The 24,267-nt window shown below is 44.2% G+C and overlaps 1 protein-coding gene across 30 annotated transcripts in view, besides 2 other annotated features; it reads left to right on the top strand.

Moving 5' to 3' along the window:
* The window catches only part of TBC1D1 (TBC1 domain family member 1), a 248,090-nt gene that overhangs the window by 200,877 nt on the left and 22,946 nt on the right, over nucleotides 1-24,267 (top strand). For 27 of the 30 annotated variants that reach the window (XM_011513659.3, XM_011513660.4, XM_011513662.4 and 24 more), the window contains 3 exons: nucleotides 3,969-4,130; nucleotides 11,039-11,197; nucleotides 23,750-23,994. In XM_011513659.3, coding sequence (XP_011511961.1) covers nucleotides 3,969-4,130; nucleotides 11,039-11,197; nucleotides 23,750-23,994 — 566 coding nt within the window. Of the gene's footprint in view, nucleotides 1-3,968; nucleotides 4,131-6,049; nucleotides 6,153-11,038; nucleotides 11,198-18,220; nucleotides 18,775-19,941; nucleotides 20,142-23,749; nucleotides 23,995-24,267 lie in introns of those variants that run through there. The other 3 variants (XM_047449898.1, NM_001253913.2, NM_001253914.2) reach the window with 3 other exon arrangements.
* Nucleotides 1,231-1,400: an enhancer, noted in NCBI's record as "experimental_79381 CRE fragment used in MPRA reporter constructs". NCBI's record gives its function as "activates a minimal promoter by MPRAs in K562 erythroleukemia cells, with activity observed for both the introgressed and non-introgressed 4:38094897 variant alleles {active_cell/tissue: K562}" and the evidence as "EXISTENCE:reporter gene assay evidence [ECO:0000049][PMID:34662402]".
* Nucleotides 14,162-14,837: an enhancer, noted in NCBI's record as "H3K27ac-H3K4me1 hESC enhancer chr4:38107743-38108418 (GRCh37/hg19 assembly coordinates)". NCBI's record gives its function as "activates a minimal SCP1, AML or CMV promoter by ChIP-STARR-seq in naive H9 embryonic stem cells {active_cell/tissue: H9 hESC(naive)}" and the evidence as "EXISTENCE:reporter gene assay evidence [ECO:0000049][PMID:30033119]".

Consider the following 24,267-nt stretch of genomic DNA (forward strand, 5'->3'; position numbering starts at 1 on the left):
ACATGTGTTTATCTTTGTGGTGAAAACACAATAAACTTGCTTAATATAATGTTGGAAGTATTAATCCATTGTATTAGTGTGTACAGGACCTGGATTGCTGATAAAAAAATAACTAGCAATAACAGCCTGATTGCTTAAAAATATTTAGTAAGTTTTGTCGGGGTGGATTGGGGCAGGGCAGAACTTTTACATTAAATATAGATGCAAGATTTGATAAGAATCAGCCAGAGTGTACAGTAAGTATTCACTTAATGTTGCCAATAGGTTCATGGAAACTGCGAATTTAAGCAAAATGATGTATAATGAAACAAATTTTACTAAGGGTTTATTGATAAAAACAAGAGTTAAGTTCCTATGGCATATTTCTGGGCACAAAAACATCACCAAACTTCTAAATAAAGACCCAAGACACTTCTAATATTAAATATTGATGTAAACGTGAGATATGCAAACATTTAAGCAAGATTAATACAAATATGATAATTATTGGCTTGGCACAGTGGCTCACTCCTGTAATCCCAGCACTTTGGGAGGCTGAGACAGGGAGATCACCTGAGGTCAGGGGTTCGAGACCAGCCTGGCCAATGTGGTGAAACCCTGTCTCTACTATAATTACAAAAAAAAATTAGCCAGGTGTGGTTGTGCACACCTGTAATCCCAGCTACTTGGAAGAGTGAGGCAGGAGAATCGCTTGAACCCAGGAGACGAAGGTTGCAGTGAGCCAAGATGGTGCCACTGCACTCCAGCCTGGGCAACACAGTGAGACTCCATCTTAAAAAAAAAAAAAAAAAGAAAGAAGTAATTATTTTTCCACTTATTCCACTTCAGGGTCTCAGGGGGCCAGAACCTATCCCTACAGCTTGGGATGCAAGGCAGGAACCAGCCCTGGACCGAATGCCATTCCATCTTGGGGTGACTCACACACACACTCAGACTGGGACCATGTAGACATACTGATTAACCTAATGTGCACATCTTTGAGATGTGGGAGGAAACTGGAGCACTTGGAGAAAACCCACACAGACATGAAGAGAACACAAACTCCACACAGATAATGGCCCCGGGCTAAGAATCCATTTTTTTCTTGTCAACATTATAAGAAAGCGACATTGAGCATAAAGACATTATTTGAGGACCTGCTGTACTATGTACTTAGAGAGATAGGCATTCTATCTTGAGTTCCTTTTTTTTCTCCCTTCTTGAAGGAAGGTTAAATTGCATCTGAGATGGCTCTTGAAATTGATCAGGGGTTCAAGCTGACTTGCATACTCTTTGGGAAAGAATTTAGAAGGATGTGTATGAGGAAGTTCTTATGGTTAAGCCTGTTTCCTGACTTGAATAGATGAATCAAATATTTTTTACTATTCTGGAAGCATCGCATTCTGGAAAGAACCATACTATGTCATCTCAGTCTACCTCACTCCATTGTAGGCACTTGGAAGCTGAAGTTGTGATTTCTCCAAAATTAGATAGCTAATTTTCATTGGTGTTAGAACAAAAAGCGCTGCCTCTCTTTGAAGACACCAGTCCTCCACCGTCCTCCTCTGCAAGGCCGTTTTCCCCCCCCTTTTTTTTTTTTTTGAGACAGAGTTTTGCTCTTGTTGCTTAGGCTACAGTACAGTGGCACAATCTCGGCTCACTGCAACCTCCGCCTCCTGGGTTCAAGCGATTCTCCTGTCTTAGCCTCCAGAGTAGATTACAGGCACCCACCACCACACCCGGCTAATTTTTATTATTAGTAGTAGTAGTAGTAGTAGAGATGGGGTTTCACCATGTTGGCCAGAATGGTCTCGAACTCCTGACCTCAGGTAATCCTCCCACCTTGGCCTCCCAAAGTTCTGGGATTACAGGCATGAGCCACTGTGTCCAGCCAATTTTTCTGTATTTTTAAATGAAGATGTGAGCAGCCTAATGTAAGATCACAACATGTGATTCAATACAGCCGTGGCTTGGTGTTGACATGTTATTACCAGTTGAGCTAATCCATGTAACTCAGCATTTTATGCTTTACTAAGATTAAAATGATGTGATAACATTAAATTTTGAATTACAGTTGATGTTTTTTATTTAAAAAACATTTTTCTTAGTTAAATAATACATGATGGTTTAAAAATCAAATATTCAGTGCAATTCTTCTAAAATCTCTGCAAGTGTGGGGGTCATTTAATTGCTGAGCCTCCCAGCCTATTAGCTTTCCATTCTGAGCTTTCAAGAGATGGTGGCAGCTGGCAAGGCAGTTTTGTCTGGGAAAGCCATTGTTAACAGAGCAGAATTGGGGATGGAGCAGCCATAGCCCACCCACCAGAGTAGGCACAAATCAGACCTGAACGTTATCACAAAGTCCAAGTTGGCTCAGACATTTGTGTTAAATCATAATAAATATTTTAGAGAACTTGGTTGCAAATTTACATTTGATCTCAGTCAGTCCTCTTCCCCTATCTCTACAAGCTTACAAACCGCATGGGTGTGTGGGGGTCTTATTTAATATTGCGAACAGCTGGTTCCTGTATCTGAAGTTCTTGCCCTGGAGCCTGGGTGTTTGTTGTAGTTCTGCACCATCTGCCTTGGTTGATAAGGCATTTTGGAGGCCACTGATTTTAGGCAGCAGTGTTGTTAGGATACGGAAACAGCAGGATGTTTGTGGATTGAGCCTTTTCAGCTGAATCTTCTGGCCAGTTCTTTCTGGCTGTGTGAAGTTGTGTCGACTACAGAGCAGGATGCTCATGTTGCCTGCTGGGCTCTGTTAGGGTGGCCAGACGTGCTTGTAGCAGCCTTACTGCCAGAGGAACGTACGTTGGCATCCAGAGTCCAGTGCTGCCGCCAGTTGCAGTGCAGCAAGGCTAGCCCCAAACCTGATTTGCTGCAAGGATTAGCTCAACTCTAGTGACATTTATTGTGTTTTCTCATAGCCCAAATCACAGCCAAAAAAAAAAAAAAAAAAATCTAGGGTTGACATTTTTAAAAATTTTTTTAAAAAACATTTTTCTTGGTTAAATAATACATGATGGTTTAAAAATCAAATATTCATTGCAGTTCTAAAATCTCTGCAAGTGTGGGGGTCATTTAATTGCTGAGCCTCCCAGCCTCTTAGCTAAAAAATCTAGGGTTGACATTTTTAAAAATGTATTCAACAGAGTACGAGGGAAAAGATTAAAGATGGTGGATGGAAAACCATAAAAGCTGAGAGGAAGGCAGCACTGGGCTTAGAGTCACTTGGCTTCCCTCTAGCTAGTAAATAACCAGCACCAAATCACCTGATCCTCCTGAACTTCAGTTTCTGTGGCCATGAAATAAGAGGTTGGGTCCAGGAATCAATGTAAATTGTCAATTTAACATTTCCCTTTATTGATATTACTCCCCCCTGGGCTTGATAATTTAGTTATAATTCTTCATGCAGCTTTAGGTTGAGTAAGTTTGGTGGGAAACAGTAGCTCTCTTCATATATTTGAGAGATGTCATTTGAAAGGGGTAGATTTATTCAGTTTAACTCCAAGAAGCAGAAATGGGACCCATGGTAGAAGCTACCAAATGGAGGTTTGGCTCTAAATAAGAAAACGATCTTTGGAGTGCCTCTCCTAGTTTAGATGAAAAAAATTGCATCAAGTTGTAACCATGCTAGTCATTGGGAATTTTATTAACAACACGTAGCTCCTGTCCTGGGGAGGCTCATAGTTTGATAGGGGTAAGATGGAAAGAATTGGGCAGATGTGGATTATGTCTTAGCAGTAGAGCCAACAGAGTATGTTGGGGGTGAAGGGGTAAGAGAAATCACATACCTCCTAGGTTTTTAGCATTTTCCAAAATGAGGAAAATGGGTAGAGGCATGGACAGTGACTTATATTTAGACGCGTTAAGCCAGTTGTAACTGCTTGACGTCTCAGCGGGATAACAAGTAGGCAGCCATGTTGTGTAATGGAAATTCCATAGCTGTAGCCTTTACTAATGCGCTCTGGAATGGTCTATTCCAGCCTCTGAAAATGATTTGCTGAACAAGCGCCTGAAGCTCGATTATGAAGAAATTACTCCCTGTCTTAAAGAAGTAACTACAGTGTGGGAAAAGATGCTTAGCACTCCAGGAAGATCAAAAATTAAGTTTGACATGGAAAAAATGCACTCGGCTGTTGGGCAAGGTAAGCTTCATTGGGAAGCATCTAGTCAACCTCACCCCTCATTGGTGATTGGGGAGAAGTGTGGAATTAAAAAAAAGTCAAGTCTAATTTTAGTGGCCATCTCCCTTCTTTTCATCACATCTTAATCTATTTCCATATACCTTACTTAATAGACATGAGTTTCACCACCTTTCATGATTCCTCTTAATTAAAATTCCCAGAAGGCCGGGAAATAGGAAGAAGACAGAAAAACCCAAGGGTTTTGTTGCCTATAAACTAGATAATGATTTGATGATATACTTTGAATTAAATTATAAACTAGAAACTAATTGTATGGCTTGTCTCTGGGTACTCTAGGGAGACAACATAGTGTGGGGAGCACAGACTTCAGACAGGTGGTCTTGGGCTTAAATCTCAGGCCTGCCACTTACTTTGCAGTGTGATCTTAGACAAATGCCTCACCCTCTCTGAGCTCCAGTTTCTACAAGTGTAAGATGTGGGTGCTGACAGTGGATGTTGTGAGGAGCACACAGCATGTGTCTGCTATACTGTAAGGCCTTAGAGAGCGGGCAGGATTCACTGTTTTTTCAGTGAGATCTGCCAGCCCAAACTGTTACTGGTCCAAGAAGAGATAAGTACAGAACTTGAAACTAAGCTTTTGGAAATGTTTCCAGCAATGTGACACAGTGATCCTAATTAAAAATGTGGACTTATATTTTGTCCATCTGTTTTTTTTTAAATTTTGTTTTTCTACTAATTTATTTTTACTGTATCGTATAAAAATATCAGCCTGTAGTAGATTGGAAAATTTTTAAAAAGAAAAAAAATTGATGCTTCACAGATAGTTTGAGAACCGCTATTTTGAAGCTTACCTTCAGTCATTATTAGTGTTCTAGTCAAACAATGATTTCTTTAAAAATATATGTTAATGTCTTCTGGCAAGAGTAAAAGCCTGAGTCTAATCTGATTCTATGCTACTGAGTTCTGGTTGAGCTCATCATGAATAACCAGGTGTTCTGAATAAGGGTTTCAAGTATGTATAGAATGGGTTTTTCCTGAGTTTATCAGTTGTGCAGTGGGAAAACGTTGTATATGCACTTTTTCTTTTTTGAGATGTAGTTTCACTCTTGTTGCCCAGGCTGGAGTGCAATGGCGCGATCTCAGCTCACTGCAACCCCTGCCTCCCAGGTTTAAGCTATTCTCCTGCCTCAGCCTCCTGACTAGCTGGGATTACAGGCGCCCGGCACCATGCCTGGCTAATTTTTTGTGGGTTTTTTTTTTTTTTTTTAAGACAGAGTCTTGCTCTGTCGCCCAGGCTGGAATGCAGTGGCGTGATCTCAGCTCACTGCAAGCTCTGCCTCCCGGGTTCACACCATTCTCCTGCCTCAGCCTCCTGAGTAGCTGGGACTACAGGTGCCCGCCACCATGCCCGGGTAAATTTTTTTTGTATTTTTAGTAGAGATGGGGTTTCACTATGTTAGCCAGGATGGTCTCGATCTCCTGACCTCATGATCCACCCACCTTGGCCTCCCAAAGTGCTGGGATTACAGGTGTGAGCCACCGTGCCCGGCCAATTTTTTGTGTTTTTACTAGAGACGGGTTTTCACTGTGTTGGCAAGGCTGGTCTTGAACTCTGGACCTCAGGTGATCTGCCTGCCTCGGCCTCCCAAAGTGCTGGGATTACAGATGTGAGCCACTGCACCCGGCCTGCATATGCATTTTTCATCTCTAGGAGCATAAATGGAACAAAGCAGTGTTTTTTACTATAGTTTTTTAGGCATTTTTAACCTTTTCTGAATTTTGACATCAATTTTAGTAATCATGGGAAGTTATTGTTTGTTACGCATTTTCCCTTTCTATGGATAAGGAAACTTGGGCTTAGAGCAGTTGAATAGTGGCTTAGGGCCACAGAGCTGGGTTCACACCACCGTACTGCACTGCCTCCTGTTGAACAGGATCTCCAGGTGCTTATCTCAGAACACGTATGCAGTGGTGAAGACCGAAGTTCTGGATGGACACCAGCTTTCAGTGTGACTTTAGCAGGTACCCTCTTTCTGGGCTCTTGCCCCCTTACTGATAGAAGGAGAGACTTGCACTGAGCAGAGGATCTTGGAGCTGTCTTGGAGTTCTAATATTCCTTGCACCTGTACTTTTTCTTGAGGTTTACCTTTACACCAAATGACCCCAAATTGCTGTTTTGAAAAGGGAGAAAGCAGAGAAAAGAATGAGTCTGTTCTTCCCCCATTCACAGTTGCCTAGATGATCACCTTCAGGTGTCTTTGCTTCTGCGAAAGGCAAATTGCATGGGTCTGTGACAGCTATTCCAAATATTTGAGCTTCTTAGAAGCCTGGCACCTGGATATTTGTTTTTCACTGGGCATATTTTGTGGGGGCTAATAGAAATACTCTAGGAATCTGGACCCTGGGTAGTGAAAGTTGGGCACAGATGATTGAGCATTCTGTATACTGGAGTGAGCTAAGGCTGACCTGGAATTTCCTTATGTGTTGCCTGACTTTGCCACATCACTTTTTACTGCAGAAGCTCTAACCATAAAGGGGGCTTTGTCAGTCAGGTGGTTTTAACACATTAAGATTTAACAACTCCAAACAAATGAGGGCGGTCTATTTTGTGGTTCAGAATAAAAATGTGAATCAAAAAATTTGAGCCTAAATTTGAATCATATCTTTGACCTTTGAAGTAGAGGCCAACTCACCTCAGAGACCTTGTAAGAGAGGACAGTTGTGTGGATTAAGAGGCCCTTCCTCATAGTGACATAAAAGACCCTGAAGTGATGGAAATAAAGGAATTTATAAAATTTTCCCAGTTAAAATTAGATGAGGGGCCAGGATTAGGGTATCAATTTAGGAGAAGATAACATAATCCTATGACATTATAGATAATTCAGTTTAGTACACATCAAAATGATTTCTCTAAAGATATCTAGATAGAACCTTATAAGCTGGAATGTCTTTTTTAGGAATGGGATTGCAGAGGGGCTGCCTGGGCTGCTGACAGTAGGGGCCAGATGCAAACTCTGCTTGCCTTTGACCCGGCAATGCCATTTATAAAAACTTACTCTAGAAACTAATCAGCCAAAAATGTACTGCAGTAAGAATGCTTATTGTGACATTGTTTAATAGTCAAAACAAAACAAAAAACCCAACATGTGACTATCCCATGTCATATTCCTTGAAAATGACACCATAAGTAGATCTGTATTTACTGACGTAAAAGATGTCTAAGTTGTTAAATGAAAAGAGTACAGCATGGTCTCCTGTACTGTTGATATTTCCATGTGCGTATACATGGAAAAACACCCACGATGCAGATGTCCAGGTTATAGACAGGATGACCATAGGGCCCAACCTGGCATAGCCCTGGTTTATGACTCCTGTCCTGGCAAAATTATTAATAGCCTTCCTCCTCTTCACTGTCAAAAGCTTCCTGCTTTGGATGGTAAATATATGCTTATTCTAGTTATGGGTGGTTTTTCACTTTCTTCTTTATACCTCTTGCATTTCAGAGGTTTTTTTGCACCACTTTTAAACAGTGAGTGTATATTATTTTTTAAGTGAGTAAGAAGCTATTTACATGGGGGATGGAGGAATGGCCTCCTGCCCTCCCAGACCCTGCCTGCAAGCCGTAGGTGGGCTCCACTGCCAGGTTTCTCTTGGGTTAGGAGTGAAGGCAGCACCATGGTGGGGAAGGGCATTCCAGGCCATTCTTAGCAAAAACATTGGGTCCAACCTGCATGATCCTGTGCTTTAAATCACAGAATCTAAGCTTACTCCTGAATACCACAATATCTGGTACTGTCCAGTGACACAGCCAATATTCTTTTCTTTCAAAAAATAAAGGTCTGATAAGACAATGGGAATGATTTAGTAATAGGAAATTGGACATTTCATAACTTGGGAAAATTTCCCAGTTTGAGAAAAAGTATTTTGTGAAAAAAAGCCCCACTATAAATCACTTATCATGCTGACTGTTTTCTAGCCCACATTTACTTCTCATCAGCATTTGAAGTATTTGTGGGGAGGGTGTGCGTGTGTGTGTATGTACCCAGGATATATCTATGAGCTGGAATAGCAGAGGGAGACAAGAAATAGAATAATAGTAGAAAGCAGAGATCAGGGTATATTTGCTTCCTGTTGCTACCATAACAAGTTACTACAAAAATAGTGACTAAAGCAACAGAAATTCTTCTCTCAGTGTTCTGGAGGCCATAGCTCCAAAACCATGCCGTTAGCTTGTCTGTACTTGGCCTCTTCCAGCTTCTGGTGTCTGTCAGCTTCCTAGACTTGTGGTCACGGCACTCCAGCCTCTGCCTCCTTGGTCACATTGATTCCCCTTCTCATCTCCTCCTCTGTATGTCTATTATAAGAATGCTTGTCACTGGATATAGGGCCCATCTGGATAATCCAGGATGCTCTCCTCCTCCCAAAGTCCTTACTTAATTATATCTGCAAAGAAGGTAACATTCACAAGCTCCAGGGATTAGGAAGTGAACACATCTCTTTTGAGGGGACACCATTCAACTCACTCTACAGGGTCATTATATTAATGCTGAGATAAAATTACAGAAGGTATAGGATGTGGTCATGGTTTACAGGGGCCCTGTATTTCTTCTACAGGCCAACTTAAAAAAAATGATACGTGAAAGGGAAAGAAGAAAGTACTTACTACACAGTAAGTATTTCCAAGAGGTGGCCCAGTGAGACTTTTGAATCTGTTAATAAAATGATTACTATTTGGTTCAAATCCACAGATGGTTATTTTATCATTAATTGCAAGATAGGAACACAAAATATTTTTTCTCTAGTCCCCATTTGAGTAGCAGCCTTGTTTGACATTTCTGACATGGAGGACACCAAGAGAAAATGGCAGTCAGCATCCCTGGGCTGTCACTCACCGGCCTAATGACCTAGGGCAAGGGACCTGTTCTCACTGCCTCTCTTTTCTTTACCATGAGGATAATCATGTTTCCCTTAGAGGGTTATGAGTATGGTATGGGCCAATACACATAACGTGCATGGAATGGCGATGGTGCATAGTGGCCTCGCAATCAGTGCTATCTGCTGCTGCTACCTGCCAGAGCAGAAACTTTTCCCAAAGGTGGCCAGAGACAGAAACCAGAGAAACCATCCTTCTGGACAGGCTGTCTGAGTGGCAGGGCAGGGTACAAAGCGGCCACTTTTTTTCCCGGATGGAAAGAAAGATCAATGCCTAACTTGGAGGCTTCCTTTCTCCCAAAAGACAAGAAAGACTTGGCATCTTATTCTTCAGTCTTCTTGCTCTCCCCCTTTCCACCTTTTTGGCCTTGTAATAGCTGAGTAATGAGCTAAAGAATTTTGGTTCAAAACTGTCACCTTTTAAAATTAGGTTTGCCCTAAATAACATCCTTGACTTTAAGAGAATTTTCTTAAGTTTTAGACATTTTTAATCACTGTGAGTATTCAAATTAATCACATGCAAAGCATTAGTTAGAGGCTCTTGGACATTTTCTGTTTTTAGAGCTTTGTTGGATGCTCACATGGCAATGTCTGTGCAGTCAGTTCCTACCCAGCCTCTGGGCTCTTCTTGCAGCTTATCTTGCAGAAAGAAGCCTCATCAGAATTCCAGAATCTCAGCTATGATTAGCTTACTCCACCTCAGCTCAGAAACATGCATGATTCCCTGGAGCTACCAAACGTGGGGCAGGTTTCTTGCCGTCAATTTTGCCTCTCACAATAACCCTTCCAGCCTTCTTGCCAGCTGCTCTCTTCCACATGCACCCTTGTGCCTGAGGCAAACTGAATCACTCTCGGTTCCCTCTCTCTTGTACTTTTCTCTTCCTTTTCCCTCATCCTTAAGGCTCGACTCAAATGAAGGATTCTGTGGAACCTTGATTGCTCAGTTAGAAATGAGCAAACTGTCGCAAGGACAGAAAACCAAACATCGCATGTTCTCACTCATAGGTGGGAATTGAACAATGAGAACACTTGGACACAGGAAGGGGAACATCAAACACTGGGGCCTATCGTGGGGTGGGGGGAGGGGGGAGGGATAGCATTAGGAGATATACCTAATGTTAAATGACGAGTTAATGGGTGCAGCACACCAACATGGCACACTTATACATATGTAACAAACCTGCACGTTGTGCACATGTACCCTAAAATTTAAAGTATAATAATAATAATAATAAAAAGAAATGAGCCAGCTTCTCTTTCATCTGAGCTCTACTTCCTTTTGATTCTCTCTGCTTTCTGAGATCACATCTTACATGACAATTTTTCATACTTGGCTTTATTTCCCTAGAATGTTGTTAATTGGCACCAGGTTGGAGCTCAGGTCGTATTCTTTATTCCTTGCAGAGTCTGACAGGGTCAGAACATGATAACACATTTGAGAAGTGAGAAGAAGGGAGGAAGGGGCCAGGGAAGTGAGGGGAGAATAGGGGGTGGAAGTAGGGGAAGAAGCAAATAGGGCAAGGTTTTAGTTGCCTCCCTTCTGTTCTTATGCTGTTAATTAATAATGGAACCAGTGGCCAGGCATGATGGCTCATCCCTGTAATCCCAGGACTTTGGAGGCTGAGGCAGGAGTATCGCTTGAGCCCAGGAGTTTGAGACAAGCCTGGACAGCATAGTGAGACCCTGTCTCTACAAAAATAAAAAAAAAATTAGCCAGGCATGGTGGTGGGCACCTATAATTTCAGCTACTTGGGAGGCCGAGGTGGGAGGATCATTGGAGCCCACAAGGTTGAGGCTGCAGTGAGATGTGATTGTGCCTCTGCACTGCAGCTCGGGTGACAAAGCCAGACTCTGTCTCAAAAAAAAAAAAAAAGGAACAAGAATTTGGATAAATGGAACATGAAACACAATTCATTTTTATTATTAAGTTGTATTCTGTGCATAAATTATTTCCATGTCTTCTCTCCCTTTTAAAGGTGTGCCACGTCATCACCGAGGTGAAATCTGGAAATTTCTAGCTGAGCAATTCCACCTTAAACACCAGTTTCCCAGCAAACAGCAGCCAAAGGATGTGCCATACAAAGAACTCTTAAAGCAGCTGACTTCCCAGCAGCATGCGATTCTTATTGACCTTGGTAAGTCTGTGCCATCGATTGGAGATGACAATGGAAGTTTCACTCACATGAAAAATCTGAAGAGACTGTCCAAGTTATGTATTGACCTGCCTTTAGGTTTAGCAATCAAAATTTACTACTGAGACTTTTAATTTAAAAAGCCCTAGGGTAATCACAAATGTCATCTTCAAGCATATAAAAATCTCTGTATTTTCACTGGGGAGCTTGTTAACTTTGCTTGGCATGGAGGGAGGGTGTTCATTAAGGCTGCAGTCATAATTGTGGTTCAGTCCAGTAACTCAAATATTGATAGGAGGTTTTTACAGTCAACCGAAGGAACATCCTGGAAAACGTATAGATGTTCAGAACCGAGGCTTGGTTTAATTACAGGAGCCACTCCCTCATTTTTACTGCTCACAAACAGAATTCATCAGAAAAATTGTAGAAAGCAGTTTGTGTGTGTGCCTTGAATGATTTTATTTTGGAAACTGGGTGGCACCTTGTCTCTTGAATAGTTTTTAAAATAAGAAGATGGGAACAATATACAGTCAGCCCTCCATATCTATGGGTTCTGAATTTGGGGACTCAACCAACCTCAGATGGAAAGTATTTGGGAAGAAAAATCAATGAAAACTAAACAATAATATAGATTTTAAAATATAGTAACTATCTATGTAGAATTTACATTGTATTAGGTGTTATAGGTAATCTAGAGATGATTTAAGGTGTGTGGGAGGATGTGGCCGGGCACAGTGGCTCACGCCTGTAATCTCAGCACTTTGGGAGGCCAAGGCTGGTGGATCATGAAGTCAGGAGATCGAGACCATCCTGGCTGACACGGTGAAACCCTGTCTCTACTAAAAATACAAAAAAATTAGCCAGGCATGGTGGTGGGCGCCTATAGTCCCAGCTACGCAGGAGGCCGAGGCAGGAGAATGGCGTGAACCCAGGAGGCGGAGCTTGCAGTGAGCCAAGATCATGCCACTACGCTCCAGCCTGGGTGACAGAATGAGACTCTGTCTCAAAAAAAAAAAAAAAAAAAAAAAAGTGTATGGGAGGATGTGTGTAGGTTATGTGCAAACATAGCACCATCTTATAGAAGGGCCTTGAGCACCGTGGATTTTGGTGTCTGTGGGGACTCCTGCAACCTATCCCCCGAGGATGCCAAGGGATGACTGTATTGGATAGATTTGCAGTTGCCACTGTGAAGGACTTGTTGAACTGGGGTGTGATTATGATGCACAGAGGGCCCTCCTGACTTGTCAGTGGCCATGCACAGGGCCAGGTGGCAATGCACTCCCGTTTGCCTGCCGCCTATCACCCAAGCTGCTGTCTCTACTGGTGGTGAGCTGGCTCGATGTGGTAGGAGATGGGCCCTGCTGCTTTTAGAGCATGTGGCCCTGCTTCCAGAATACCTGTTCTGGTTGCAGCTGCTGCTGCTGAAGGCTCCACAGAACACACAGTGCTTTGGGGCCCTGCGGTGGCCCGGTTCTCTGATTGTTCCTGCAGCCACGACAGAGGATGCAGTGTGAGCCGCATCAGGCAGTATGAAGTCCTTTCCTCTCAAGCCACGTAGCTAGCCTTAAAGGTTAATTTCATAACCCTTAAGGTTATTTTTTTTTTTAATTTTTTTTTTTGAGACGGTGTCTCGCTCTGTCGCCCAGGCTAGAGTGCAGTGGTGTGATCTCAGCTCACTGCAAGCTCCGTCTCCTGGGTTCACAGCATTCTCCTGCCTCAGTCTCCCAAGTAGCTGGGACTACAGGTGCCCGCCACCATGCCTAGCTAATTTTTTGTATTTTTAGTAGAGACGGGGTTTCACCGTGTTAGCCAGGATGGTCTCAATCTCCTGACCTCGTGATCCTCCCGCCTTGGCCTCTCAAAGTGCTGGGATTACAGGCGTGAGCCACCACACCCGGCCCCACTTAAGGTTATTCTTTAGCTTGAACATCATCTCTGAGAAACTTTCCCTGACTGTGGTCTCCTCTCCCACCTCAAGACTGGATGAGGTGTCTTGCTAAGCCCCCTGTAGCACCCCACACTCTCCCCATGGTGCGTATCACATTTCTCATCATCACCGTTATCTGCTTATTATCATCACTGCTGCTGCCTAACTTCACCTTGGGCCAAATGTTGTGCAAAGGGACTTAAACTCCTTTCTTTAATCCTTACAACATGATCAGGTAGATGTTGTTCTGTTTCTCTTTAGAGTTGAGAAAATAGAAACAGACAGGTTACGTAACTTGCTGAAAGTGACACAGCCGATTTGCCGCTAATCAGTGTGACTTCGGAAGCTGCACTTTTTTTTCAACTTTTATTTTAGATTCCAGGATTGCGTATGCAGGTTTCTTACAAAGGTGTATTGTGTGATGCTGAGGATTGGAGTGTGATTGAACTTGTCACCCAGGAACCAAGCATGGTACCCAATAGGTAGTTTTTCAACCCTTGCCTTCCTCCCTCCCTCTCCACCCCCCAGGAGTCCCTGGTGTCTGTTCTCATCTTTATGTCCATGTGTACCCAGTGTTCAGCTCTCATTTCTAAGTGAGAACATGTGATGCTTGGTTTCTGTTTCTGAATTAGTTTGCTTAGGGTAATGACCTGCAGCTGCATCCATGTTGCTGCAAAGGACATGATTTTGTCCCTTTCTATGGCTGCAGAGTATTGCATGGTGTCCATATATCACATTTTCTTTATCCGGTTCACTGTTACTGGGCACCTGGGTTGGTTCCATGTCTTTGCAATTGTGAATAGTGCTGTGATGAACGTGTGAGTACATGTGTCTTTTTGGTAGGATGATTTATTTTGTTTTGAGTATATACTCAGTAATGGGATTGCAGGGTCGAATGGTAATTCAGCTCTTAGCAGAACCTGTATTTCTTACTCCACCTCCCCCGCCTGTCCTTAGTATACAGCAGTGGCTCTTTATTGCCTTTTTCCCTTATAGGATACAGCCCTCTGCGGACTGGGCTGGGGCTGTTTGGCCATTATACCCTCGGCTTCTAGGACAGTGGCTGTGACACAGCAGATGCTCAAAGAATATCTTTAAGATTCAGAGTGTGAGACACTGCACTAGCACCGCCATCTCATGGGCCCTCACAACAGCCCTGGGAAGGTGGCCTGCACCCTCTCTAAGAAATGAAGAAACTGAGGTCACATGTTGACCATGGTCACAAAGTCACCTGAGGGGAGGTGACAGGAACTGAACCCACTGTCACTCTGTGTTTCCCTGGGACCCTCTGAGCGCAGGAGGCCCGTGTTGCTGTGCAGTGGCAGGCCAAGGCAATGCCTTGGTGGAGCTGGGGCCCATTTGGCCCACTGACCTGAGGAAAGCAGTTTTGTGAATTGGCAGTAGCTGCATTTGCTGACATGGTGAGTTACAGGAAATGCCATCATGTTCCTATCATGTGAAACAAAGTGAGAAATAGGTTCAGGGTGGGAGGCTGAAAGGGAGGAATGCAGACAGCCCCGCTCCCCACACTTGCTCCAAGGCTGGGAGGAGGAACGGGAAGGTGTCTCCCCTCCTGGATTCAGTCACCTTCTTCTCTTCATTCCCCTGCAGTATCCCCTCATTCTTCCACGGACACGATCAGCCCCTGCTTCTTGTTGCTCAGATGTCATCACTTTTCTGCAGAGGGAAAAGAAGAGACCAGATCAGAACAAGGGCCTCGGCGTGGCTGTGCACTCCGAAGGCACTGTGTGTGCCTGAGCCCCACCACGGCCTCCCCTGCAGGGCTCAGGCAGCCTTCCTTGAGCTGGCATGAGGTCTGTGGGAGCCCGGTCCACTGGCAGGGCTGGCTGCATTCAAGTCCTCTCCATCCCTGCCTCTCCCCACCCTCTCCCTCTGCTGCCCCCTTCTCTGACAGTGCTGACCCCCCTCTCTCTTCCCCACTCTTTCCCATCCTCGCCTGGCCTCCGGTTTGGATGCTGTCCACACACTTCCCGAGGGCCTGAGAGGACCTCCGTGTGAGGCAATGCATTTCCCAGGTCACCTCTGTGTCTCTCTCCAGGCTTTTTCCAGGGACTCCCCGGGGTCAGTCTCCTCTCCCCACTGGAACGGGGAAACTGGGATTGGCCTAGACCCGGCAGTGGAGTCCCAGGTGCCCTGCCTGCCCGGCTGACTCCGCCCAGGGAGGCCTCCCACAGAAGCTCCTCCAGACTCCACCTGTTACCTCCCCCACTCCTCTCACCCAAGGCTGTGCTGTGGCCAAGTCAGTTGTTTAGTCTACACTTTCTGTTTAGTCTACACCATGGCTACCTCAAGGCCCAGTGAAGGTGTGTAGTATAAAGCAAAATCAAATCCATATTTCAGTTTTCCTTAAAAAGTGACCTTCATATTCTGGCCAGAAGAACAGAATGGTTGGTTGGATATATTTTGAGTTTTCATGGGTTTTTGTTTTCCTGCCTCTTGTTATACTTTCTGAAATTGGCTTTTAGTCTAAACAGGTTTTTTTTTTTTTTTTTTTTTTTTGGCAATGTGTTTTCCTCCAAAGAGTAAGAATAATAGGCCTCATGGCTGGGTCGTGTTCTACAGTTTGTGAATATTTTCTCAACCTTTGTCAAATTTCATCTTTACACATCCTGTGTGAAATTGGGCACGTGCCGTTATTTCCAACTTAGAGGGGATGAATGAGCCCTTAAGAGCTTGAGTTCTCTGCCCACATTGCGAGTTACTCAGTGCCAGAAGGAGTTCTGGAACCCAGGTCTCCTCAGTCTCCATACCACATCCCTTCTAGGGCACCATGTTGCTTCTGTGTTTCTTGGCTCTGCCCACTCCATGCCAGCACAACTCTCCCCACCCCTGCTTTGGTGGAATCATGTTCCTTTGGGGTAGATCACACCAGCCAGAGGCAACTGCTCTCAGCTTAGCAGATGGTACTCATCACATTATTCTTGAAGCCTTGGGTCAGGAGCCTGCCCCACCCATCTGCATCCATTTGTCCAGCCCTCAGACAATTGCCACTGTTTTCATGTCTATTCTTTGACTCTCTATCCTGGGTAGACAACATGGACTGCCCAGCATCCTGTCTTCTGTCTGGGGCTCCCACTGTCGTCCTGACCACGCTGGGGGCTGCCAGTGACACTGGGAAACTCCTGAGGGACCCCCTTCAGGCTTCACATCATCTGCTCCCTCCCTAGCATCCCAGCCTAGAACACTTTCCAGCCATCAGCTGCATTCCCCAGTGAGGCGTGCAGCCTCTCCCATGATAGGAGGGCTTCAGCCGAAAGAACACTTCAACAGGCCCAGAAACCCAGGAGCACCATTAGATCAGAAAGCAGAAGCAAGAATGCATCTAATCTCCCCCACATCAATTGCTATAGTTTTATTAATCTGCATATTATAGGTCAGTAAGGGGATGGCACAGTTTATAATCCCTGCAAGAGTCTGATGATCTTTTGGTGACCAGAAGTGCCATTTTTTGATGGGCTTCTAGAGATCCTCCATCAGGGATACCAGACATGTTTGGCATGCCTGTGCTGCCGCGAGACGCTAAGCGTGTGTCCAGACTACACGTGTGGGTCACGGGTCCAGCAGCAGAGCTGTCATGTTGATTGTTTGCTTCTACTAAATGTATAAAGCCTGCCTGGTGTCCAGAAGAAAAGAAACTATAATCCAATTTTTTAGAATCCATAAAAGGTAAGAAGTAGGAGAACATTTAGAATCCACAAAAGATGAGAAGTAGGAGAACGGTTGGATTTTTTAGAATCCATAAAAGATGAGAAGTAGGAGAACCTCCAAAAGGAAGGAATCAGCTGAGAGTATTGAAGATGACCAAGTACAAACAGGCAGAGGGGAGCGCTTCCCCTTCTCCTCTCCCAGGCGGTGGGCTGCCTCGCTCGGCCAGGACACACAGAGCAGCATCGTGCACTTTGAGGGGCAGGTGGAGCTGCTCATCACTAGCAGGGGTGCTGGCGGGGACCACAGTGTTCTCTTCCATCTTTGAGTTGAAGTCCTGTGTGAGAAATGAGAAACCTTCATGGCAAAAGACAGAAAGGGACCTAGAATGTAACATTCAGCAGTCTTGTTATCTCACGCACCTGTCTGTCCAGTTGGGGACGTTGCTGTATGGAGGTCAGTTGAACAATCACAGTTGAGGAGCCTAATGAATTCTTGCACCACCAGCCACACACATTATTCTGAAGAGTGAGCCATTGTCTCTGATCTTATCAGGATCACATCGTGGGATCATATTTATTTGGTCATTCTGAATATACCCTTTAAGTCCAAAGTGAAATAACTAAATGTCGTTGATAAAAGGAAAGAATAAAGTGGGGTATGATTTCCTTTCACAGAGGTCTGGAATCTTCCTGCCTTTTTCAAGTCAGTCGGTGGTGCTGGCAAATGTTTAATAACCAGCTCCTCTCACCCCTCAGAGGAAGCCCTTGGTGTTCAGTGTTTGCAGATTTCCATTGTGCAACTAGTCCTCCCACACCCCATTTTAAACTACCCACTTGATGTCACTGGTCATGGAGTTGGGCTCACAGAGCCAGTGGGAGTCAACTGGAGCAGCCACTGGACTCATTCAAGTGTTTCCCAAAAACAATCTGCTCCTAGAAGGACTCTCCCTTAATCTCCTAACCCTGCCATTCAGGATGATTCCCTGCACTCTGGGAAGCACACGTTCTAGTGGGAAGACTGATACTGGGCAACTGATAACCAAGTGACTTAAACTTCTGAGGGTTACAAAGGGTGTTTGTATCCTCAGTGTCTCATTTCAGATTCTGCTCAGAGCTAAATGCAACAATGTGAGAAGATGTTAGTATCCCAGATCTTCATCCAGGAAGGAATCTTAGAGATCATTAGGTTGTAGGGTTTCTCTTCTGCAGAGGAGATAGAGGGTCGGTGTCAGATTGCTGGTTTGCCAGTACCACTCCCTGGAGAAAAGAGCAAAAGAAAGAAACTTGTTAGTCAACTGTGCAGAGCCACCGTGAGACTGAATAGCTTTGTGGGTGGCCCCGTGTTTGCTGCAAGAGACCTCTGGCCTCTTGTAGCAGCTGCCACATGGTAAACAGAGCCGAGATATCAGGAGTCTCGCTGAAAATGCAGTCAGATGGGCTCTGAATAGAGGAAGGCAGGACACTCTTGAGATGGGATGGGGTTTCTCACAGCACCGTACAGGGACCACCTGCAAGATCTCTTGAGGGGCTTGTGAAAAACACATCCCTGAGGTCACCATTCTTGACCTGCTGCTTATTGAGTTTCTGATGCCTGGGATGTGCAGGTTTAACAAGCCCCCAGATGATCCTAATAGGATTCCTGCCTGAAAATTGCTGGGTGAAGGCTCTTCCCCCTCCAAGTGATAAAGAAGGAAAAGATTGATCCTGGAAGAACATCCGTTAGATGAGCAAAATTTTGTGGAGCACTTCATGAAGAGGAATTACTAGGTCATTTAGAAATATGTTTGAATTGTGGATCATCTTGTAGGCCTTTCTGGCATATTTCTCCACTTAGATCCACAAGACACATCGAATGTCTTTTTATAAAGGGGTTTTTTAATGCCCATGTTTGACCCTCTCCACTTAACAGTCCCATTCTCATTTTATATGTGAAGGTAATCTGCTTTACAGAAAAATGTAAAGGACCTGCACTTCTCTGCTTTGTGGTAAGTTGTAAAATGCAGTTTAAAGAGGCAGGCCTCATATCCTGATAGATTTGTAGGAAGGATTGCACAGTTTTACCCAGCTTCCCTCGAGTTTGGCAGAAATTAGCTTTCCCTGAGCTGGTGTCTTCCCGAGCTAGCATGCTTCTCCTATGGGGTGTGTGGCCTTCTCTCCTGTCTTCTTGAGGCAGAGCTTCAATCTAGAATCTGTTCACAAACTGAACAAATGCAACAAACAGTAAACAGTCTTTTGCTCATAGTTAAGGTGCCTTGAGTTGGGTGTGAGGGGCTGAGTGTGTTCTCAGGGGTGCTCTGCCCACGGCTCCGGCCAACTGCTGCAGGTGCGCATCATATGGGTGGTCTTTGTGGAATGCCATCAGCACTAGCTTAGTACCTCCTAAATGGGAGCTGGAGGGCTACAGTGCTCAACACTGGATTATACGAATGTGGATTGTCCAGGAAATGCTTTTAATCCCCCTCATCCACTCTCTACCCACGTGACCTGCCTCTCCCTCTTTACTTGGTGTTTACTCAGGAATGTGGGTGAGTTGTCGTGTTAGCCTAGAACAGCCATTCCCAAACTTTGATGGAAGGATGCCATTCACTTTGAAAATTATCGAGTAGCCCAAAGAGCTTCTGTTTCCATGGATAATTCCTATCAATATTTACTATATTACCAATTAATTAAAACTGAGATTAGTATTTATTTGATTCGTATTTATTTTTACATAGCTATAATAAACTCATACATATAAAAAATTATTAAAAAATGACTGTTTTCCAAAATAAAATTAGTTAGAAATGTGACATTGTTTCTACATTTAAAAAATCTCTTTAATGTCTGATTTAATAGAATCCGCTGAATTTTATTTGCTTCATTCATTCTGTTTTGCTTGTTATTTGAAGCATATAAAGCAAAAGCTGACCTTGCACAGATCTATAGTAGGAAAAGCAGGGGGAGGGCCTCATGGACCCCTAAAAGGATCTCAGCGACCTCCAGGGGTCCTCAGGCTGACCAAACATTGAGAACTATTGACCTGGAAGAATGTAAAATAGGAAAACAGTGTCTCCCCCAATAGAATTTCGTGTAAAACGTGGACTGTGTTACAAAGTCAGATGGGTGCAGTTGTCCTGCTTAACCGCTAATCAGGAGCTGAAGGCCAGAGACTCACAGCTGTTCCCCAGCCTGGTAGTGAACCCAGAGGCCTGTCTTGCTGTGCAGTGGGACAGGAAGTTGCATTTGGGAGTCTCATAGAACACACTGGAAGATGTGTTTTAGCTTGGCCAGTTTCATGCAGGACAGATTTTCTGCATAAAGAAAATCAATGACAGTTTCTGAAACTGCATCCTGGAAGCCTTGACCAGTTTGGGTAATAACAAGAGATTTGAAAGTGTGGGGTGTACAGGTGTTTTGCTGAATCTAGGTGGTGGTGGTGATTATTATTATTTGGAATTCAGCTTTCAGTTCTACCTGCTTGTGAGTTCCAAACTTTGTGAAAATTAGTTGCTTGGACGAAACTTTTCTTTGCCTCTGGAAGGCTGTCAGAAAGCGAGATTTCCCAGCTTATGTGCAGTGTTATAGTTAATAGAGTAATGGCTCTGCAAAGTTGTTCCTTTACTTTAAATGTAATTTATTTTGCATTTGTGCTACAGAACGGTCATAAGTGTGCCCTTTTGTCCTCTTGTTTGGAAACTGGGTTTTTATAATGTGTGTGGTCTATCCGAAGATTATTGCCCATTATTGAACACCATTCATAGCAACCATTTGCATTAGGCATTGTACGTGTACTCTCCACTCTGCAAACTATGTGTTCTGTCCCTTTTTAAAAAGAGGAAGCTAAGGTTCAGAGAAGCTAGGTAGTCCATTCTGAGCTTCACGTGCCAGAGGCCATTTTGTACTTACTTCAAATGCCATTGAAATAAATGCACATCAGAGAATTGTTCTTAGCATAAGGGGCGCTACATGTAACTTTTTATTAGTGAAATGGATGATGTTCAAGGGCTGTGGTTGATTAGAAAGGCGTCCAGACCCTGGCTCCAGGGACTATGGAGCAGAACTGGAGGCCAGTGCCTGTCGAGCGGGTCCCCACACTCCATCTGTGTGACCTGACTGTGGATGGCCTGGCTCTGCCGTTAGATTGCCACGGTGCCCTCCTCTGGTTGAACCTTTCTCGAGAAGTGCTTGTTGGAGGCTTGAGTGCAGAGCCTGTGAGAAGCTCTATGTGGTTCCTATTGCCTGTCAGCTTGCTGATAAAGGTCATTGGTTTGGCAAAATTTGGCCCAAGGTTTGCCTTCTCATAACATACCACTCGGTAGCAAGGCTGGGAGGAAGGTGGCTATAGCTATTTCTGGAAGCTGCTTAGGGGGCTGCCTCCCCCTAAATTGGTACATAATTTGCAGGGCCTATTGCAAGATGAAAATGCAGAACCCTTTCTTGAAAGATTATTAGGAATTTCAAGACAGAGACAACAGAGCATGAAGCCTTGTGCAAGGTCCTTCTAAGCACAGAGCCAGTGTGACCGCACAGAACACACACCCGTGAAGCCAGCTCTGCCCCCACCATCTGACCACTCTTGAGTGGCCAATTAGCATAGGTCACTCCCCACCCTGCTAGGCCCACCCTCTTAGGAATGTTGTGAGGCTTAAATAAGAAATAGCCACTCTACAAGCGGTGTCAATTAGCATGGGCTCTGGTTTCTGTGTGAGGTAGTTTGCTAACATGAGAGGGTATCTGATTAGCTAAAACGATAACACTGACAGATTAAATTCAGAATAACTAAACCTTCCCTGTGTTCCTTTATGCCACATGACTCCTGCATATTCTGCTACCAGCACCTGTTTGATACCAGACGGAGGGGTCCATTTGGGATGGGACAGGAGCATCAGCAGAAATGCAGAAGTGGGGAAGTGCTCCATCTTCTTGGAAGCTGAGCTGGCAAGGGTAATGGAATGAAAGAGATTGTGAATATTTTTGAGACTATGAGGAAACCAGTACACTGGTGTTGCCCAGTACAGAAGCCACATGTGGCTGTTAAGCACTTGAGATGTGGCTACTCCAAATTGAGGCGTGCTGTCAGTATAAAGAACACACTGGATTTCAAAGACTTGGCATGAAAAAAGAATGCCTAATGTCTCAGTATTTTTATATTGATTATGTTGAAGTGATAGTATTTTGTGTATGTTGGGTGTAACAAAATATCTAATTAAAATTAACTTCACCTGTTATTTTCTAATGTGGGTGCTAGAAACTGTTACATCCTGCATGGGGGTCACATTCCAGTTCAGTTGCATGTGCTGCTACCCATTGTTCTACACACACACACACACACACACCTGCACACAACCTAGAGGGGTCAGAGACCCCAGGAGCCCCTGCTTCTGGTGCCCAGGCTAAGCGCTGGAGTGGAAGATAAAGCTGGGAGGGTGGGTAAGGAGGTGAGTGCACGGAGCTCCAGGCTAACAGAGTGGATAATTTGTTCTTTGAGCACTGGGGAGCTATGGATTGCTTACTAGCAGCAAGGTGACTTGTGCAGGGTATATCTGGGGGAGATTTACTGGGGGAAGAGATAGAGGAGGCAAGAAGTGAATACAGAACGAGAAATCAGGACAGTGGTTAGGAGACCGTAGCTTTCCTCTTGAGTCAAGTTCAGATAACACATCTGGACTGATGAAATTCTTTTTCAGGAAGCTGAGGAAGAGCCCATGAAAATATGTTCCTCCCTGTGCTGAGACCGAATAATTGCAGTGAACAATTAACGTGTGGCCTAGATCCACCTTTTGCCTTCGCTGATCCAAGCAGGTTCATAATTCTTGCCTGGGCCCAAGCTTGGCCCTGGCTGCCAGCTGCCTGGCTCCAGATGTTTCTTAATCGTTTCAAGTACTTCTCTGCTCCCTGGAAACAGGCACTCCCATCAGTCACATTCCAGAGGAGGAGGAAGAGGAACTTGACAAGTATCAGCTACAAAAGCCTCCTGAACAAAAGAAATCCTTTAAGCCTATTTGAATAACAGTTTTTTGTGAAAATAATCAGGATGTTGAGAGCTTTTTTTTTTTTCTTTTAAACTCTTTTTGGAAGGTAACTTTTGTGAAAAGAAAACACCTGCTGCTCCTCAGGCTGTTTCAAAACACTGCCTATAGTTTGAAAGTACGGAGATATGCATGTGGTATGAAGCATTTGCAGGCATAATATGTGTAGTCTGGGAAAAGCAGATCCAGAGAGTGCTTGTAGTAAGGCGAGGCCTTTTAGCTGCATTTAGATGATGCTGGGATTGGGGTGGGTGCAGGGTGCAGCAGTGGGGAGGAAGAACTGTGTGTGTTCCTCTTGAGAATAGGGGTTATGTCTAGAGGATTAACAGTTTTCTTTTTTCTTTTTTTTTTTTTTTTTTGGAGTTGGAGTTTTTCTCTTGTCTCCCAGGCTGGAGTGCAGTGGCATGATCTCAGCTCACTGCCATCTCTGCCTCCCAGGTTCAAGCAATTCTCCTGCCTCAGCCTCCCGAGTAGCTGGGATTACAGGCACCTGCCACCACGCCTGACTAATTTTTTCTATTCTTAGTAGCGATGGGGTTTCGCCATGTTGGGCAGGCTGGTCTCGAACTCCTGACCTCAGGCGATCCTTCCACCTAGGCCTCTGAAAGTGCTGGGATTACAGGCATGAGCCACCACACCTGGCCAACAGTTTTCTTTTTTCGATTGAAGTTCAGCTATTTGCAGGACCGAAGGTAGTTCTGATTACTTTCACCTGTACTTCCACCAAAAAATAAATAAAACAACCATGAGTAATTGCTGATTTTTAATTGAAAGCATTATTCCAGGAATAACTGGTGGACTTCGTTTGCAGAGGAAGTGGCAAAGACTGATTGATATTATGATCCAGCTTCTAAAGATTTTGCTGCTTAATCTGAAGCACATTGGATTTCTGGTTCAATAGGCTTTCTTTTTTTGTTTTTATTATTACAACTAATATGTATTCTTTTCACAGGGCGAACCTTTCCTACACACCCATACTTCTCTGCCCAGCTTGGAGCAGGACAGCTATCGCTTTACAACATTTTGAAGGCCTACTCACTTCTAGACCAGGAAGTGGGATATTGCCAAGGTCTCAGCTTTGTAGCAGGCATTTTGCTTCTTCATATGAGTGAGGAAGAGGCGTTTAAAATGCTCAAGTTTCTGATGTTTGACATGGGGCTGCGGAAACAGTATCGGCCAGACATGATTATTTTACAGGTATAGAGTGTTCCTTATGTCTTTAATACAACAAAATGCTAAGAATGTTTCTTATCCCTCTCCAGATGTGCCTCAGGAGCTTTTTCACCGTCAGGTAACATTGTAATAGCTGTCACTGCTGATAAAGGACTCTGTGCTAGGCATTATTCCAAGCGCTTCATCTGCACTTCCCTCTAAGGAAGACACTGTTCATCGTCTCAATTTGTAGATTGGAAAACTGAGTCTCCAAGAGATTATAAATTGGGCCCAGTCACACAGCTAGCAAGTGTCAGA

This window comes from Homo sapiens, chromosome 4 (genome assembly GCF_000001405.40).
Source record: "Homo sapiens chromosome 4, GRCh38.p14 Primary Assembly".
NCBI classification, from domain to species: Eukaryota; Metazoa; Chordata; class Mammalia; order Primates; family Hominidae; genus Homo; species Homo sapiens.